Source organism: Homo sapiens, chromosome 7 (assembly GCF_000001405.40).
Source record: "Homo sapiens chromosome 7, GRCh38.p14 Primary Assembly".
In the NCBI taxonomy this organism is placed as follows: Eukaryota; Metazoa; Chordata; class Mammalia; order Primates; family Hominidae; genus Homo; species Homo sapiens.
Genome location: NC_000007.14, coordinates 510,698 through 525,731, shown reverse-complemented (window position 1 = coordinate 525,731; position 15,034 = coordinate 510,698). Strand labels below are relative to the sequence as shown.

General features: G+C 63.7%; 1 protein-coding gene and 1 long non-coding RNA gene across 18 annotated transcripts in view, besides 16 other annotated features; one reads left to right on the top strand and one right to left on the bottom strand.

Annotated features, from left to right (window-relative positions):
* Window positions 1-499: 499 nt before the first annotated feature.
* PDGFA-DT (PDGFA divergent transcript) lies at window positions 500-5,341 on the bottom strand. The gene is made up of 3 exons (NR_033963.1): window positions 2,416-5,341; window positions 1,452-1,652; window positions 500-878 (listed from the first exon to the last, which is right to left on the bottom strand). It is a non-coding gene; the product is annotated as a PDGFA divergent transcript (long non-coding RNA).
* Window positions 2,782-3,091: a silencer, noted in NCBI's record as "silent region_17812". NCBI's record gives its function as "represses an Ori minimal core promoter by ATAC-STARR-seq in GM12878 lymphoblastoid cells {active_cell/tissue: GM12878}" and the evidence as "EXISTENCE:reporter gene assay evidence [ECO:0000049][PMID:35858748]".
* Window positions 3,407-4,328: an enhancer, noted in NCBI's record as "H3K27ac-H3K4me1 hESC enhancer chr7:561041-561962 (GRCh37/hg19 assembly coordinates)". NCBI's record gives its function as "activates a minimal SCP1, AML or CMV promoter by ChIP-STARR-seq in primed H9 embryonic stem cells {active_cell/tissue: H9 hESC(primed)}" and the evidence as "EXISTENCE:reporter gene assay evidence [ECO:0000049][PMID:30033119]".
* Window positions 3,412-3,551: a silencer, noted in NCBI's record as "silent region_17811". NCBI's record gives its function as "represses an Ori minimal core promoter by ATAC-STARR-seq in GM12878 lymphoblastoid cells {active_cell/tissue: GM12878}" and the evidence as "EXISTENCE:reporter gene assay evidence [ECO:0000049][PMID:35858748]".
* Window positions 3,672-3,751: a silencer, noted in NCBI's record as "silent region_17810". NCBI's record gives its function as "represses an Ori minimal core promoter by ATAC-STARR-seq in GM12878 lymphoblastoid cells {active_cell/tissue: GM12878}" and the evidence as "EXISTENCE:reporter gene assay evidence [ECO:0000049][PMID:35858748]".
* Window positions 5,032-15,034, top strand: part of PDGFA (platelet derived growth factor subunit A) — a 23,443-nt gene continuing 13,440 nt past the window's right edge. For 2 of the 17 annotated variants that reach the window (NM_001395363.1, XM_011515415.2), the window contains exons 1-5: window positions 5,032-5,335; window positions 6,664-6,793; window positions 8,242-8,334; window positions 13,277-13,381; window positions 14,736-14,923. In NM_001395363.1, coding sequence (NP_001382292.1) covers window positions 5,264-5,335; window positions 6,664-6,793; window positions 8,242-8,334; window positions 13,277-13,381; window positions 14,736-14,923 — 588 coding nt within the window. In that variant the 5' untranslated portion in view covers window positions 5,032-5,263. Of the gene's footprint in view, window positions 5,336-5,505; window positions 5,773-5,885; window positions 6,794-7,402; window positions 7,530-7,744; window positions 7,934-8,241; window positions 8,339-13,276; window positions 13,382-14,735; window positions 14,924-15,034 lie in introns of those variants that run through there. The other 15 variants (XM_011515418.2, XM_011515416.2, NM_001395366.1 and 12 more) reach the window with 10 other exon arrangements.
* Window positions 5,417-5,756: a silencer, noted in NCBI's record as "silent region_17809". NCBI's record gives its function as "represses an Ori minimal core promoter by ATAC-STARR-seq in GM12878 lymphoblastoid cells {active_cell/tissue: GM12878}" and the evidence as "EXISTENCE:reporter gene assay evidence [ECO:0000049][PMID:35858748]".
* Window positions 5,857-5,946: a silencer, noted in NCBI's record as "silent region_17808". NCBI's record gives its function as "represses an Ori minimal core promoter by ATAC-STARR-seq in GM12878 lymphoblastoid cells {active_cell/tissue: GM12878}" and the evidence as "EXISTENCE:reporter gene assay evidence [ECO:0000049][PMID:35858748]".
* Window positions 6,173-7,094: an enhancer, noted in NCBI's record as "H3K27ac hESC enhancer chr7:558275-559196 (GRCh37/hg19 assembly coordinates)". NCBI's record gives its function as "activates a minimal SCP1, AML or CMV promoter by ChIP-STARR-seq in naive H9 embryonic stem cells {active_cell/tissue: H9 hESC(naive)}" and the evidence as "EXISTENCE:reporter gene assay evidence [ECO:0000049][PMID:30033119]".
* Window positions 6,227-6,366: a silencer, noted in NCBI's record as "silent region_17807". NCBI's record gives its function as "represses an Ori minimal core promoter by ATAC-STARR-seq in GM12878 lymphoblastoid cells {active_cell/tissue: GM12878}" and the evidence as "EXISTENCE:reporter gene assay evidence [ECO:0000049][PMID:35858748]".
* Window positions 6,827-6,916: a silencer, noted in NCBI's record as "silent region_17806". NCBI's record gives its function as "represses an Ori minimal core promoter by ATAC-STARR-seq in GM12878 lymphoblastoid cells {active_cell/tissue: GM12878}" and the evidence as "EXISTENCE:reporter gene assay evidence [ECO:0000049][PMID:35858748]".
* Window positions 8,017-8,939: an enhancer, noted in NCBI's record as "H3K27ac hESC enhancer chr7:556430-557352 (GRCh37/hg19 assembly coordinates)". NCBI's record gives its function as "activates a minimal SCP1, AML or CMV promoter by ChIP-STARR-seq in primed H9 embryonic stem cells {active_cell/tissue: H9 hESC(primed)}" and the evidence as "EXISTENCE:reporter gene assay evidence [ECO:0000049][PMID:30033119]".
* Window positions 8,760-8,859: a silencer, noted in NCBI's record as "silent region_17805". NCBI's record gives its function as "represses an Ori minimal core promoter by ATAC-STARR-seq in GM12878 lymphoblastoid cells {active_cell/tissue: GM12878}" and the evidence as "EXISTENCE:reporter gene assay evidence [ECO:0000049][PMID:35858748]".
* Window positions 9,609-10,110: an enhancer, noted in NCBI's record as "NANOG hESC enhancer chr7:555259-555760 (GRCh37/hg19 assembly coordinates)". NCBI's record gives its function as "activates a minimal SCP1, AML or CMV promoter by ChIP-STARR-seq in naive H9 embryonic stem cells {active_cell/tissue: H9 hESC(naive)}" and the evidence as "EXISTENCE:reporter gene assay evidence [ECO:0000049][PMID:30033119]".
* Window positions 10,486-10,780: an enhancer, noted in NCBI's record as "tiled region #8552; K562 Activating DNase unmatched - State 14:Gen5', and HepG2 Activating non-DNase unmatched - State 10:DNaseD". NCBI's record gives its function as "activates a minimal TATA promoter and a strong SV40 promoter by Sharpr-MPRA in K562 cells, with weaker activity in HepG2 cells {active_cell/tissue: K562 | HepG2}" and the evidence as "EXISTENCE:reporter gene assay evidence [ECO:0000049][PMID:27701403]".
* Window positions 12,897-13,404: an enhancer, noted in NCBI's record as "H3K27ac-H3K4me1 hESC enhancer chr7:551965-552472 (GRCh37/hg19 assembly coordinates)". NCBI's record gives its function as "activates a minimal SCP1, AML or CMV promoter by ChIP-STARR-seq in naive H9 embryonic stem cells {active_cell/tissue: H9 hESC(naive)}" and the evidence as "EXISTENCE:reporter gene assay evidence [ECO:0000049][PMID:30033119]".
* Window positions 14,421-14,928: an enhancer, noted in NCBI's record as "H3K27ac-H3K4me1 hESC enhancer chr7:550441-550948 (GRCh37/hg19 assembly coordinates)". NCBI's record gives its function as "activates a minimal SCP1, AML or CMV promoter by ChIP-STARR-seq in naive H9 embryonic stem cells {active_cell/tissue: H9 hESC(naive)}" and the evidence as "EXISTENCE:reporter gene assay evidence [ECO:0000049][PMID:30033119]".
* Window positions 14,929-15,034: part of an enhancer, noted in NCBI's record as "H3K27ac-H3K4me1 hESC enhancer chr7:549933-550440 (GRCh37/hg19 assembly coordinates)", that runs on past the window's edge. NCBI's record gives its function as "activates a minimal SCP1, AML or CMV promoter by ChIP-STARR-seq in naive H9 embryonic stem cells {active_cell/tissue: H9 hESC(naive)}" and the evidence as "EXISTENCE:reporter gene assay evidence [ECO:0000049][PMID:30033119]".

The following is a 15,034-nucleotide window of genomic DNA, read 5'->3' as shown; positions in this document are numbered from 1 at the left end:
CCTTCTCCATGAGGGAGCCGTGTGAAACCACGAAGCAGTGTTAGAAGCTGCCTGTGCACACACTGGCTCTCCCTCTGTCCGGGATGGAGTTTCTGCGTCCCCTCCTCCAGAGGCCAGGAGGGCTGGGGACAGCTTAGGCTGAGAGCGTACAGAGGTGTGGTGCTGCGCACCTGTACTGCTAGATCTGGAAAGGGTGTATTGCCTCCACTGTGGGCGTGGGAGCACGAACACAAAGCCCTCTGCCATCCCAGAGGCAGCTTGACCCTGGAGGCCTCCATGCTGTAAGGAAGCCCATGCTGGCCCCCAATAGGCCACGAGACGGAGTTGAGCCCACCTGAAAGTGGGGGATGCAGGCCAGCCCCCCTGTTCCCCCAACCTCACCGCTCCCCCATGACAGCTGCAGCCACCAACCCTGACTGTAGCTGCAGGACAGACCCTGGGCCTGAACCCGCTGGCTGAGTCCACCTTAAATTCAGTATGCGAGAAATGGAGACAGAATAACACAATTATTGTTTATTTATTTAGTTTTGAGACAGAGTCACTCTGTCACCCAGGCTGAGTGCAGTGGTGTGATAATAGTTCACTGCAGCCTCAAACTCTTGGGCTTAAGCAATCCTCCTGCCTTAGTCTCCCGAGGACCTGGGACCTTAGGCACATGCCACCAAGCCTGGCTAAGTTTTAGGGTTTTAGTAGAGACGGGGTCTTGCTGTGTTGCCCAGGCTGATCTTGAACTCCTGGATTGAAGCGATCCTCCTGCCTTGGCCTCCCTCCCAAAGTGCTGGGATGACGGGTGTGGGCCACCGTGCCCGGCCCCTTCTTCCTTTCTGCCACGACACCTTGTGTTCCTGCCTGAGGCCCTCCAACGGCTTCCACTGCCCCTAGAATAAAATCCAGAGCCTTCCTTTGGTCCCAAGGGCAAGCGATCTACCTCCTTGTTCTGTGAACAAGCCACGCTGGTTCCCGCCCTGGGGCCTTTGCACCTGCTTTGTCGTGTCGGCCTGGAGTGCCTGACCTAGATGTTCTAGCTGTTGTCAATTGACTTCTTCTCAGACTCCTCAGACAAGGCCTTCCTGACCTGGGCCTGAAATCCTTTGCCTGAAGGGCTGCACTCGCGCGCTCTCTGACTTATTGTTCCTCCTCAGAGAGTGAGGGCTCCGTGAGGGCCTGGTCTTAACGCCGTGTCCCCAGCACTTAGTACAGTGCCTGGCACATAAACCTGTGCTTCAAGAACGTGTAGATATTTCCTAGAGCAACCCTCTGAGCTGGCTGTGGCCCAGAGGAGCAAAATGAGCCTCCGGGAGGCTGACAGCGAAAGTCATTGTAATCATGTTTATTTAACACCATATATCCAAAATGTTTTTTTCAACCTGAAATTCATACAAAAATTCCCAATTGAGAAATTTTGCATTCTTTACTAAGCCTTCGAAAGCTGGCATGTGTTCTGCCCTTACCGCACTGCACAGTTTGGACTGGCCACGTCTCTCGTGTCCAGCGGCCACACGTGGCCATCGCTCCTGGGCTGGATGGCTCTGGTCTAGCTAGACTCTCGGCTTTCGTTTCTTGAAGCCTCCAAACATCCTTTCATACATGTCTTCATTCACAAAATGTTCACACAGTGATAGTGGGCTCCTGTGCTATTTTCAACTTCATTTCTGTTTGTGTATTTAAAATAAAATGATTTAATAGGGAGTTAAAACAACATGGAGAGAGAGCCTTCCCACCCTGCTGGCGGGGCAGTTATCTCCCTTTCTGGAGAGTGTGAACTGGAAAGGCCTGATCCCTAGTCGCTGGGGGCCTGAGATAATGACTTAATTAATGCCTGCGCTGGGCAGTTTTGATCTTCAAGGAGTCCAGCCCACTCGGCTGGTGTTGCTTTTGGATTAATTGCCTAGGACGAAGAAAGCCTTGCCCAGAGATAAAGGGAAACGTGGGGTTTCGTCATTACAAATTGTTCTGAAATCTGCTCTGGCGCTGGGGGCAGAGGCCAGGATTTGGGTGCTCAGCTGGTCCCCCCACCCCCAACCCAGGTGCAGGCAGGTGGCCAGCAGGGCGCTTGCCCAGGGCACGCTAGCGCAGCTTTTCCTGGGCAGGTGGGCAGGAGGGAGGCTTCCCGACAGTGGAGGCAGCTGTGTGCAGTGACGGCAGCTGTGTGCAGTGACGGCTGTGGGCCTCACGCTTTTCAGATGAGGGAACAGACACCCAGGGCAGTCTAGGGACAGAGCTCACCAAGGCCAAGGTCAAGGGGCAGAGAGCGGAGGGAACTGGCCTCTGCCCCCCTCCCTGCACCTTGGAACTGGGGATCCAGGGGGTGTTGGCTGCCGCCCCTACTCCTGGGTGGCCACAGCGTCTTTCCTGTTCCTGCCTGTACACCCCACGTACAAATGCCCCTGCGAATTGAGGATAGTCTATATTTACCGAGGTTGCAGAGGTACCCCTGGGGTGCTGAGCCCCGCTCCAAGTCTTCGCTTAGAGTTGATGCGTGAGTGTCCATGAAATTATACAAGGAAAGAGCTTGGCACCTGGCGCCATCGACGTCGCTGTAAATGTCAGCCGTTACTACTACTACTAAATAACAACGACGGCGATCGCTGCGTGCCTGCTGGTGCCAAGCCCCGGAGGGGCCCCGGACACGCAGCCTGGGTGGGGATGGGTATGAGGGGGCAGCGCTGGACTCGGCGAAAGTTTCTTCCCCTCTCCAGTCCCCTACCCAGAGGAATGGCCAAGGCCTTTCCCGCCCTCCCTGGGTGCCAGGGTCTTGGGGAGGGGCGGGAGGCAACCAGTCCCGGGCAGACGTCCGGCCACCCGCCCCTGCTGCGCGACGGCCCCCCTCGCTCGGCCTATTTGGGGCACCTGACTCACGGTAATTATGAGCCCGCGGGCACGTCGGGGCGCGCCGGGAGAGGCCGGATGCACCGGCTCCGGGGGCGACCGGACATCCCAGGCCGCCAGGTGCACCTTGCTTCCCACCAGCACCTCCCCGCACCCGCCGGGAGCTCCCCGCTGCTTCCGCCAGGGGCCCCGGGCTCACCTCGGGGCGCCCACGGACTCCCAGACGCGCGCCTCAGCATGGGGTGCGAATGTTTCGGGGGCGGCGCGCGGGGCGCGTCTGCCTCCCGCACAAAGCCAGGCTCTGTCCCGGGGTCAGCGCCTCTGTCTCCCGGGCCTGGGCGGGGACGCCCACGCCTCCTCCGACGCGGGAGTATATTTAGCCTCATTATCAAATGTTTGCAGTGAACTGTGTGAACCGACTAATAGCGGCTGGAAGTGAAACTCGATTCCTGGCCAGAAAGAAGCATGTGACCGCCCCCGTCTGCAAGGATCGCGGCAGGGCGGGCGGGGCAGGTGCCGCAGCCTCCGCGCGCAAAACCCGCCGGCGGGGCCCGGGTCGCACCGTCCCCTCCTGGGCCGAGCACCTGAAACCCACCTCGTCCCTCCGTCCCCCTCCCCAGGGGCTGCAATGAGGACGCTGGGAGTTTGAATGGAAACGAAGGCCGGGGAGGGGGGTCCGCGCGGGCGTGGGTTTTTTATCCAAGTCGGTGACCTCTTGGTTAAGTCAGCCCTGCGGTTTCAACGCCCAATCCCCCCAAAAAAGCCTGTGGGGGTCCACGTCTCCTTGTGTCTTCCGGGGATCCGGCGGAGAATGTGGCGGGGCCGGGCAGGGGGGTCCCAGTCCCACGCCGGGTGCGTCGTGCCCCGAGTCTCCCCAGAAGGCGGCTGTCGCGCGGCTGCACAAGTTTTCGCCTCCCTCGCGCGGCCGCTGTTGTTGTGGTCGCCATGGCGACGGGTCGCGGTTTTATTTTTAATAGCGGCCGGCGATTAGAGAGATGCCTGCACCGCTTTCGCCTAAGCTCTGCGTCCCCCGCGGGTGAAGCACCCACGCCCCGCCCCAGCCCCCGCCTCGCTCCAGCGCCCCTTGCACGTCCCCAGGTGGCCCTAAACTCTAGCTGGGCGCACCCGTAGCTCCAGGCCGGGCAGGGGAGCCGAGGGAAGCAGCCATCTAGGCCCTCAGAGGCGGCGAGGACCCCCAGGATCCCTCAAGCTGGGAGGGACGGGTACCCCATCCCCAATACAACGCGACCTTCCTCCTTGCCTTCCACACCGTCTTACCGAGTCCTCTAACCCCACAGAGGTGTCCTCGGGCCCCCTCTGCGCGCGAGCAGTCCGAGGCCCAGGAAGACAGGATGCGCGCCACTCCGGGATAACTGGCCGAAGAATGAGGCCGGGGTCCGGCCTGCGTCCTGGCCCTGCGAGTCCGGCTCTTTCCAGAAGCCATGCAGTGGGTGTCCCCTCCCAAGCCGCAAGTTCCCCCTGGAGGGACAAGGCCTGGCTTTAAGGGGCTCCTCCACGTTTCCAAGGCTCCCCTGGTTCTGTCCCGGTCCCGCTTGGTCCTGACCACCCAGAGGGCATGCTTGACCGCGGGGGTCGTGGTGTGGGGCTGCGGCCAACGGAAGGGAGAGACGTGGGGAGGGGGCCTGCAGGTGTGTGGAAGGGCGCGTGTAGACGCGACCCACTGGGAGCGGAGGGAGAGGCGTCGCTCCCCAAATATTTGGGGGAAGGGGAGAGCCCCCGAAGCGCTCTCCGGATTCGGCCTTTGAAATGCTAGAGCTGGCCTAGCTGGGGATGAAAGACCGCCCGCGGGGCTGCGCCTTAACGGCCTTTGTCTGGAGGGAGGGCGACCGCGACGGGGGCAGGGGTTTAATCGACAGGGTTGGGGGTGACGGCTGGGCCGGGCGGGATTCTCCGCTGCTCACCCAAGGAAGCGTCTCCTGGGCTCCAGGGGCCTAGGCCGTCTAGCCTCGGGGTCTGCACAGCACGCCACCCCGCTGGACCCGGTACCAGGACGCGTAGACCCCCTGGCAGGGCACTGACGAGCACCTGGACCTGTAGTCAGGGTCCAATCCCTCCTGGTCTAGGGAGGCGAAATCCATCCAGCCCAGGCGCACCCGCCCTTTCTCGGCGTGGGAGCCGTCTAGCCACGCTCAGACCTCGGCCTCCGCGCGCGTTCCTCCCCCGCATCGCGCTCTGAGCTGCGCCTCGGCCGGAGGTGGCGCTCTGTGCGCCCCACGGATCCCGACGCGGGAGGCTCAGAACCCGGGGGACCCTCACCGGTGGCTCCTTTCCCTTCCATCCCCTCGACTTCCCGGCTCAGGGCGCGGCCCTGCCTTCGGCGCGGGAGTGGGGGACTGGGGGGCGCGGGGTCCCAGGGTGGGGACGAGGCGGGCTGCAGGCCCTTTCCCCGACTGGAGCTCGCTCCCAAGTGGAAATGTGGGTGGAGGGTCCTCATTCAGATGCCCCAGGCCTCGGATCCTGGGCGGGGGCGCGTGGCAGCCGCCAGGTGAGTGCCCCAAACCCGCCCCCCTCCTTCCCCAAAGACTGACTCCCCCTCCTTTTATGGAGAGAGGAAGGCTGGGGCCCTGGATCCGAACCGTGGAGAGCGGCCGGAGCGCCGGGGCGGGGGCGGGGACCGGCTCTCTGGCCCTTTTTGGCGCAGCAGCTCTGGGCGCTGCCCGCTGCCGCCGCTGGGGCCCGAGAGAGGCGAGCCGGCGACGGCGGCGCTTCTGCGGCGGCCTCCTCCCTCCCCACCCGGTGCCGCAGGATTGCAGCTGGCACTGGAGGGTGGGCAAGCTCGAGGGAGGGGCGCGGAGCCCCGGCGCGGAGCCGGGCGCGGGGCTTTGATGGATTTAGCTGCTTGCGCGAGCGCGTGTGTGCTCCCTGCCGCGGCGGCGGCGCCCGGGCCCTGCCGGGTCCGCACGAACCCCGAGCGCTTCCGAGGTGCGGGTCCCAGGCCCGGAATCCGGGGGAGGCGGGGGGGGGGGGCGGGGGCGGGGGCGGGGGAGGGGCGCGGCGGCGGCGCTATAACCCTCTCCCCGCCGCCGGCCGGCTCCACACGCGCGCCCTGCGGAGCCCGCCCAACTCCGGCGAGCCGGGCCTGCGCCTACTCCTCCTCCTCCTCTCCCGGCGGCGGCTGCGGCGGAGGCGCCGACTCGGCCTTGCGCCCGCCCTCAGGCCCGCGCGGGCGGCGCAGCGAGGCCCCGGGCGGCGGGTGGTGGCTGCCAGGCGGCTCGGCCGCGGGCGCTGCCCGGCCCCGGCGAGCGGAGGGCGGAGCGCGGCGCCGGAGCCGAGGGCGCGCCGCGGAGGGGGTGCTGGGCCGCGCTGTGCCCGGCCGGGCGGCGGCTGCAAGAGGAGGCCGGAGGCGAGCGCGGGGCCGGCGGTGGGCGCGCAGGGCGGCTCGCAGCTCGCAGCCGGGGCCGGGCCAGGCGTCCAGGCAGGTGATCGGTGTGGCGGCGGCGGCGGCGGCGGCCCCAGACTCCCTCCGGAGTTCTTCTTGGGGCTGATGTCCGCAAATATGCAGAATTACCGGCCGGGTCGCTCCTGAAGCCAGCGCGGGGAGCGAGCGCGGCGGCGGCCAGCACCGGGAACGCACCGAGGAAGAAGCCCAGCCCCCGCCCTCCGCCCCTTCCGTCCCCACCCCCTACCCGGCGGCCCAGGAGGCTCCCCGCGCTGCGGGCGCGCACTCCCTGTTTCTCCTCCTCCTGGCTGGCGCTGCCTGCCTCTCCGCACTCACTGCTCGCGCCGGGCGCGCTCCGCCAGCTCCGTGCTCCCCGCGCCACCCTCCTCCGGGCCGCGCTCCCTAAGGGATGGTACTGAATTTCGCCGCCACAGGAGACCGGCTGGAGCGCCCGCCCCGCGGCCTCGCCTCTCCTCCGAGCAGCCAGCGCCTCGGGACGCGATGAGGACCTTGGCTTGCCTGCTGCTCCTCGGCTGCGGATACCTCGCCCATGTTCTGGCCGAGGTTGGTGCCGCCCCCGCGCCCCGTCCCTGCGCCGGCTCCTCCGGCGCACACCCCCCGCCGGCTGGGGCGCCACGGGCTCTGCAGAGAGCGTTTTGGTTCCTGCCAGGGTGGTCGATGTTTAGATTTTCCCAACTGGGTTCTATTTTCTGCCATGCCTAAGTGTGTGTGGGGAGTTTCCAGCGTGTTGCGTCGGTCGCTCTGCCTCGGGGGGACCGGGGAGCAGCGAGGTGGACGAGTGGGCAGAAACTTCGGGGGGCGCAGTGTCCTCTCCGGGGAAGGGGAGCTGGGGCGCAGCGGGCGCTGCAGCAGCGGGGTGCGGGGAGCGGGGAAGGGGGTGTGTGTGAGCCGGCGGAGCCTGGGGAGGAGAGAAGGGCGGCGGATAAATAGGTAGGGGCGGCTGCTGCGGAAGCCCCTGGCCGGGCAGGGTGGGCAGCGCCAAGCTGCAGCCCTCGGTTCCCAGTCCCCAAGCCCGGCGGGGCTCAGGGCCGGCGCAGTCCCGCCCGCCCGGGCCTGCTTACAGGTGGCTGAGCGAGGCGAGCTGGGGCTGGGCCAGGCGTCCGCACCCTCCCACCGCGGCGTCCCCGCCCCCCCATCCCCATCCCCATCCCCATCCCCGGGAGCTTTGCTGTGATGAATGACTTTCCACAGCCCCCGTCGTGGGAACTTAGTGCTTCAGGCTCCCCAGCGACCCCCGACTCTCCTTAAAAATCGGGGAGGGGAGTGGGGGAGGCCAGAGGTGAGGGTGGTCTCCGCAGGGCACGGAGAGCTGCGCGAGGTGGAAGTTTAACCCTCGCTTTCCCTGGAGGCTTCTTCTCCCGGCCGCCGGCTGGATTTGGGCGTCTTAGTCGGCGCTAGGGCCGCGGCTGGGCCGGAGCCCGGGGTGGGGCGAGTGTGTGAGTGAGATGTGTGTGCGCGTGTGTGTGTCTGCGCGCGCGTGCGTGTGTTTGTGAGACGGAGAGACCTCTCCACGGGTTCGGCCCGGGATTCCGGGGCGTGAAATTTAAGCCCTGCCTGGATTAAAGTGTTAGGGCTGCCGTGACTCTCGCCGACCCGTGACGCATTTTAACTTGATCTTTCTAGATGTTGATCTCACTATTAAATCAGAAACTTTCGGCCCCCTCGCTGCCCCCTAGACCTTCTGTAACTGACACCCCGGGTGGAGGGGCCGGAGTGCGGGGGCTTTTGTCTGAAAATATAAAGGGGGGGGGGCTTTGATTTTGCAAAGGGCGGAACATGGATGCGGGTGGAGAATTTGGGGTCTCTTCCAGCCCCACCCCCGGCTTCTGGTTCCAGGGCCGGGGCGAGGGCTCCGCGGGGGCTGGGGCGGGGACTGCGGCCGGCGCTCGCGGGGTCTCCTCGGGCCCGGGGCGGCGGCGCTCCTGGCGGCCGGGGGCGCGTGCCGGCGGGGTCGGGGCCGCGGGCGCTGACCGTGTGGCCTCTGCTTGCAGGAAGCCGAGATCCCCCGCGAGGTGATCGAGAGGCTGGCCCGCAGTCAGATCCACAGCATCCGGGACCTCCAGCGACTCCTGGAGATAGACTCCGTAGGTAAATCGCGCCCCTTCCCTCCGCGCGCGGGGAGGGCGCGGGCGGGCGGCCTGTGCGCCCCGAGCTGGGGCCGGGCGGGGCGCCGCGCAGGAGCGCACCGAAAGGTCAGAATCCAATCCCCAGCCATAAGCGCCCGGGCGGATGAGTCAGGAGTTTCTCTTCCAGTCTCCACTTTCTCTCCCAGCGGCGGCCGAGGGCTGCTCGCTCGCCCCGGGATTGTTTTCGCCTTTAAGGAAAACGCCGCGTGTGTCACACAAAGTTCAGCCGCGGCCTCCGCCAGGTGTGCGGGCCCCGCGCCTGCCCTCGGGCCGGGGGAGCGGCAGGATCCGGCCCAGACCCTGGGCGCAGAGCCCTGGCCCGTGCGCCGGGCGGGCAGCCCGCGGAGCGAGGCCCCAAGGGCAGGCGCGGCTCCCGGTCCGACGGGCGGGCGGGCGGAGGCGGCCCCCGGGTCAGGGCCCGGCCCCCTCTGTAATCCCTGCGAGCTGGTGCCGCGTTCTTGCCGCAGGGCTGGGCCTCTGTGGCTGCAGAAGCCGGTGTCTTTCTGTTTTCACGACCCAATGAAAAGCCTTGGACGCATCTGCTGCCTGGGGGCTATTTTTGCGGCTCACCCTCGGGCCCTGGGGCCGGGCCACTAGAGAACACAGCTTGTTTGCAAGCACAGAGTTTTGCTGCGGGTTGGCAAGGGTTAAAGGGGCCTCTCACCCCGGGGGACCCCGGTGGACCACGGGTGGGTGGGAGGGGCGAGGGTGTAGGGTGGCCGCCCGCCCGCTCAGGGCTAGAGAGCCCCTTCCTAGAAGGCGAGGTCTCTCTTCCAGGCGTGCGTGGCGCTCTTTTCAAAATGAGCACTCGGCCTGGGAACTCCAGTCGGAGCCTTAACCTGGTTTAAAAAGGGGCTCTGCGATGAACTTGTTAAAAAGAGTAACTAAAGGCAGCAGAATTGGAAGAAGTTACGTGACATGAAGATTCTTCTCTCCCTGCAAAGGACTCTGAAAAAGGGGGGGCATGCGGGGATTAAGTGAAATCACATGGTCTAGTCATTTGGAAATTTGTACCTAATTATGGTGGTGGAGAGGCCTGAACTATTTTCGTTTCATGCCAAAACCATTTTCTAACAAGGCCGATGGTTTCTGTAGTTTCTTGACCCAGGAAATCCCTGGGCTGATCCTTATCGGGGGCGGAGGGTGGGGGGTGCGGTAGAGTTTCACTCCCACAGCACAGCTGGGCGGGGGGATTTTGACCGGATCCCTCAGTGGATAACTCTAGGGAAAAGGATCTGGCTCTGGTTTGTGGGGGGGAATCCCTTGCCTGAATCTCGCTGGTCCTGGATGGGTTTGGAAAAGTGGGGGGGGGGGGCTGCTTCCTGGAGAAGGTTTCAGGGCTTTTTCTGGGGGGGGGTGCTAGCAGAAGGGGAGGCTTGTGGAGAGCTGGGCCTCCTCGTGGGACTGGCTTTGGAAGCTGCAGGGAAATGGGCCATTCACTTTCTGCTGGGACTATTCTTATTCTGGTCTTGGCGCCCCGCCTCCTCCACCCCCACCCATTATCGCCTTTAGCATTGCAGCTTCGTGGGGTATGCTGATGGCATTCCTCACCCGGGGGCTTCTAGGTCGTAGGGTCCGAACAGAAAAAAACAAGGATGCCCCTAAGCTAGTCCTGGCCGGTTTCAAATTCCCTCTGCAGTCATGTCCCAGGAGCTCTCTCCTCCTGCCCCAGGGAATGCAGAGTGGATCTCAGCCCTCCTGTGTCCGTGAGAGGTTTTGGGGTCTGAATAGGATTCTCCTAGTGTCTGGGAGGCTTTGTGTGTGAGAATATGGGGGTGGCATCTACCTCCTCTCTTGCCCCTGGTGGGGGACCTTTTGTAACATAGGGGGGCCTCCTTGGTCCTGTCCAGTCCCCTCCCCAGGTGTGGCTGAAAACAGAACCAGAGAAACCCACAGTCTCTCGCCTGAGGACAGGAGAGGCACCGGCTGCTCCTCCAGCTTGTAGGGGGTGTCTTTTCTTCAACTCCCGTTCTCTGTCGTAGGGAGGGTTGTAAACTGGTTGAGGTCAGTTCTCATTGGGTAAGCATCCCTCCGGGTCCTGGACTCCCTTTTCAATCCAGAGGTGCTTCTGGTCTGTTAGGGGCAGGGGACAGTGCAGGGGCTCATGAGGAAGGGGCTGGGTGCTGGGAGAAACCCAACGCAACGAACTTTCCCTCGGAGTCCCTTTATAACCCTTCCAGGCTGATGTTCTTGGCATTAGGTGCCTCTAAGGCCCACGCTGTAGGAAGCAGAAAAGAGGCTTTGAGGAATCCCAGGGGTGCGCCCCAGCTATGCTGACTCCTCCTCCAGGTGGGTGGGGCTTTGTGACTGGCATTTGGCTCCTCCCAGCATGCAGGCTGCGTCCCACTGTACAGTTGGGGAGACTGAGCCAGGCACCGTCTGGGGTCTTGGCCGCTCCTTGACTGTGGCTGGAGGAGCACGGGTAGTGGGATTCCTCACCATCCTCCCGGAGCCCAAGCGTTTCATTCGGAGGGTGTGCTGGAGTGAAGAGTGAAGGCTTTTCACCTGTGGCTTTTAGATCCAGAGGCCAGCATGTGGTCTTTTAATGACCGGCAGCCCGCGTTTAGGGCCTGTTTGTCCTGTGTGCAGTGGCAGCTGGGGAGCTTTGTTCCCCAAAGTGGTCTGGCCTGGCGCCCGTGGTTCATTGAGCGGCTGATAACGTAAATAGCCCCATCTCGGGCCAGTAATGCCAGACCAGGACTGATGGTTGGGAGATTCTCCCTGTCCTGGAGTTGTCCTTGGGACATCTGTGCCTAAAAGACAAAAGGGAAAGCCTCCTGGTTAACTGTCCTGGGAGCAGTTTTAGGGGTGATTCTTGCCGGCCAGGCCACCTGGGCCTGGGCTGCTCAGAGCTGTGTTTGGTGAGCTGTGGGCGGCTTTGGTGAGCGTGGTCCACTCTCGGCATCTTGAGCTGGGAGCAAAGGGTGGGCTTGGTAGACTGGGAGCTATTCCCCCTCTGTCCCTTGTCTCAAGAAATTTGCCAGCTCAGGCTTTCTGGGGGTCAATGAGCTAGCACGGCTGCCGTCTTCTCTGTTTATTAAGCCAGGGCTAGAGGGTGGCGGGGCACGGGGACTGTGCTCTGTGGACGCAGACCACATGAGTCTCCTGCGAGCCACTTCTGGTCCTGTTATATTTCTCTGGGCCTCAGTTTCCTCGGATGTGAAGAAGTGATAGCACCCACCGCACACTCAGAAGCTAAGTCATTGGTAAAGCAGCTAATGCAAACGTGGCTATCACAAGGCATCGGAAAATGGGAGCTGGTGTTATTGAATTTTCTCCTACGAGTGGAGAACGGACCCGTTACTCTTTGGTTTGGCCATGGCAAGATGGCCACCACCAGGATGTGATTCATAAGTGTCACTTTTTCATGAAAAGAAATGCTGCTTGTAACAGTTGGTTGATGGGAAATTCTTACTGCATGAGTAGTTCTGTTCTGATCTTATTTTGGGTCTCAAAAAAAATTAGTGTCATTGGAACATTGAGTCATTTTCGGTAAAAAGTTGGGCTCCGGGCGAGCTTCGTCTTTGCCTGACACCTTCTGTGAGGTTTGCGGGCTTCATTTTAAATCCGCAGGCTCCTCGGGGGTGCGGAGGAAGCTGAGGTTTCTCCGGTTGGTTTGTGGATAGTCACGGATGCCTCGATGGGCTGGGGAGAGACACTTTGGGCTGCTAGTCCTGAACCCAGGAGGTGCAGAGCCCATTAGCCGTCTGGATTGGTGACCGGGACTTCCCAAGCTTCCCAGGAGGGGGCAGGGAGATCTCTGTGCCTCTGGAGCATCCTGGCTGTGAGGCTCACTGTCTCCGCGCCTGTTCACCCTTGGTTATATGGTGGGGGGGGCAGGATGGAGGGAGATGGGAAGAGACTCCCCAGCTGGGACCAGGGGGCCAAGGCAAGGAGGCCCAGAGCCACCCGCGGTGCCCAGGTGCGGGCAGTGTGTCCATGGGCAGGACTGTGGGTCCTCTCCCTACTGCGGGATTTGGAGAGACCTGAGACTCCCCCAGCCTGTCTGCTGTAGCCGTCAGCGCCTGTGAAGGGGTGGTGTGTGCAGCTGGGTGGGGTGGCGGGGATAGGTTCTCAGTTCTGCTCCCCGGTCAGTGCTGGTCTTGGCTCTGGGCCACTGCCCCACCTGCACCTGGCCGCCTGGCTGTAAACACGGCTCGCAGATGCCAGCTTCTCTCAACCCCTCTCCGCAGGCCGCCTCCCTCTGTCAGGCTGCGGGAACTCCTCCGTGTAGCCTCCACGAGAGGCCACGTGCCCTCCTGCCTCTCCTCATGGCCGCTGGCCCTAGAGTAGACTCATTTCAGGAATGAGTGGGGTCTGGCCCGCAGCCCAGTCTGGCGGCTTCCAGTGCCCCTCAGAGGTTAGGCCACTTCTTCCAGGAGTGCTTTAGTGAGGGGGAGGGAGGGAGACGTACAGGCACCTGCAGAAATCTCAGCGGCCTCTGCTTCTCCCTCGCTCCAGCCCCCAGACAGAGGTGGGGCCTGGCTTAGCCCTGTGCCCCTCGGGGAGGTGCACGGAGCTGGGCGGCCTCAGGCCCCTCCTGCCCCGGGGCAGCCCTCACCTGGGCTACCTTGGAGGAGGCACCGTAGGGGAGACCACCTGCAACCTCTTCCCCGAAGGGCCCTGCGCTTCGTCACGGGCCCCTGAATGTGGGGACCTCTGTGCTAACGGGGCGTTTTCTGCGGTTTCCAGTGTTTCATGCCCTGCATCTCTGGAAAGCCCTGGTGGGAATCGAGGTTCTCCTGGAGGGCCCCTAATGGCGGGAGCTGTGAGGGGCTGTGCCGCCAGGTGCCTGTTCCCCAGTGGCTCCCAAAGCTGGTCTGTGGGAAGTGCGGCTGGACAGGCCCAGGGCACAGCGCACGGGCCTGGGGCATTCACGGTGTTCTCCTTCCGCCTGCAGGGAGTGAGGATTCTTTGGACACCAGCCTGAGAGCTCACGGGGTCCATGCCACTAAGCATGTGCCCGAGAAGCGGCCCCTGCCCATTCGGAGGAAGAGAAGCATCGGTGAGTCCAGGAGGCCGCGATGGGCAGGGCAGGGCCGGGTCAGGGTGAGTCCAGGAGGCCGCGATGGGCAGGGCAGGGCCGGGTGGGGAGGAGCTGCCCGCTCTCCCAGCGCAGTGGCCTCAGGCAAGCCACCCGTTCCCTCCTCCCTAAAATAGGCCTGGCCCTGGTGCCTCTGGCTCTGGCCTCTCCCGAGGCCTCCCTCCTTCGAGGGTGTCTCCTGCCCCAGCCCGCCTGCTCCTCCTGGAGTCCTGGTCTGGGCCAAGAGAGCTTCCAGGAGAGAAGAGCCATCATAAATTCCTTAAGCGCCCTGTCTTGTCGGGGCCTGTCCCCAGGAGCCTTGCCGGAAACGTGGTCGCGCCTAATTTCCAATTCGCAGTGTGGGCATCGTGCTCCTGCGCCGGCTGCTGAACTGGTGGGGACGCGCGTGCTGTGTCCGGCGGCTGCCCCCCGACACCCTCACCACACCCGTGTGCCCCGCCCCACTCACACCTGGCTCCAGGGCTCCACCCCCGCGTCCATTTGGGGGATATTTTGTCCCTTCTTACAGGACAGCCCCATGGCCCTCCAGCCCCCTGAGGAGGAACTAGCAGGTTTGGGGAGTTCAGGGGCCAGTCCCTGCTTTCTACCCAAGTCCCGCGTCCTCGGGGGTCCCACCTGATGGGTTTGAGCCCTGGTGCTGCTCATGGCTCTGGGGCCCTGAGCAGGTGGACCCCCCTCTCTGAGCTGTGGTTTCCTCCATGAAGATGGATTTTGTATCTTCCACCTTAAAGTGTCATGTGTGGCTGGCTAGTCCCAGCTGATGCAAGCAGGCCCTCCCCAGGTGACATTTGCTGTGGGGTCTGCATTTTGCACCCTTCAGACCACTTTTGAAGGCTAGAGCATGCAGCAAGTGCTGTAGGATTCACTGTTAAGGCCCCCTCCTCCCCCAGCCACTGGCCCCACCTGGACTAGGTTCCCCTCTGCCCCTGCCACCCCCAGTCTCTGGCCCCACCTGGACTAGGTTCCCCTCTCCCCACCCCCAGTCTCTGGCCCCACCTGGACTAAGTTCCCCTCTCCCCACCCCCAGCCACTGGCCCCACCTGGACTAAGTTCCCCTCCCCTCCGAGCCACTGGCCCCACCTGTCCAGGTCCCTCCAGCCTGCAGGCACCGGGCTGGGCTCCTCTGGATGTGTGGTGCTCCTGCCCACCCAGCCCCTAAGCCTCTGCTCCCAGCTCAGCCTCTGCTGCCTGGGAGGAATCCTGGCCTGTGGCTTACCCTGGTTGCCCCCCAGGCCCAGCTGGAGCCGCCTCAGCCCTGGGGTGGGGCCGTGGTCGCAGAGGCCGGTCCCCGCTCACTGTGCCCCCGCCGTTGCAGAGGAAGCTGTCCCCGCTGTCTGCAAGACCAGGACGGTCATTTACGAGATTCCTCGGAGTCAGGTCGACCCCACGTCCGCCAACTTCCTGATCTGGCCCCCGTGCGTGGAGGTGAAACGCTGCACCGGCTGCTGCAACACGAGCAGTGTCAAGTGCCAGCCCTCCCGCGTCCACCACCGCAGCGTCAAGGTGAGCCCTCCCCTCCCCTCCCCTCCCCTCCCCTCCCCTCCTCTCCTCTCCCCTCCCCTCCTCTCCTCTCCCCTCCCCTCCTCTCCCCTCCCCTCCCCTCCCCACCCAAGC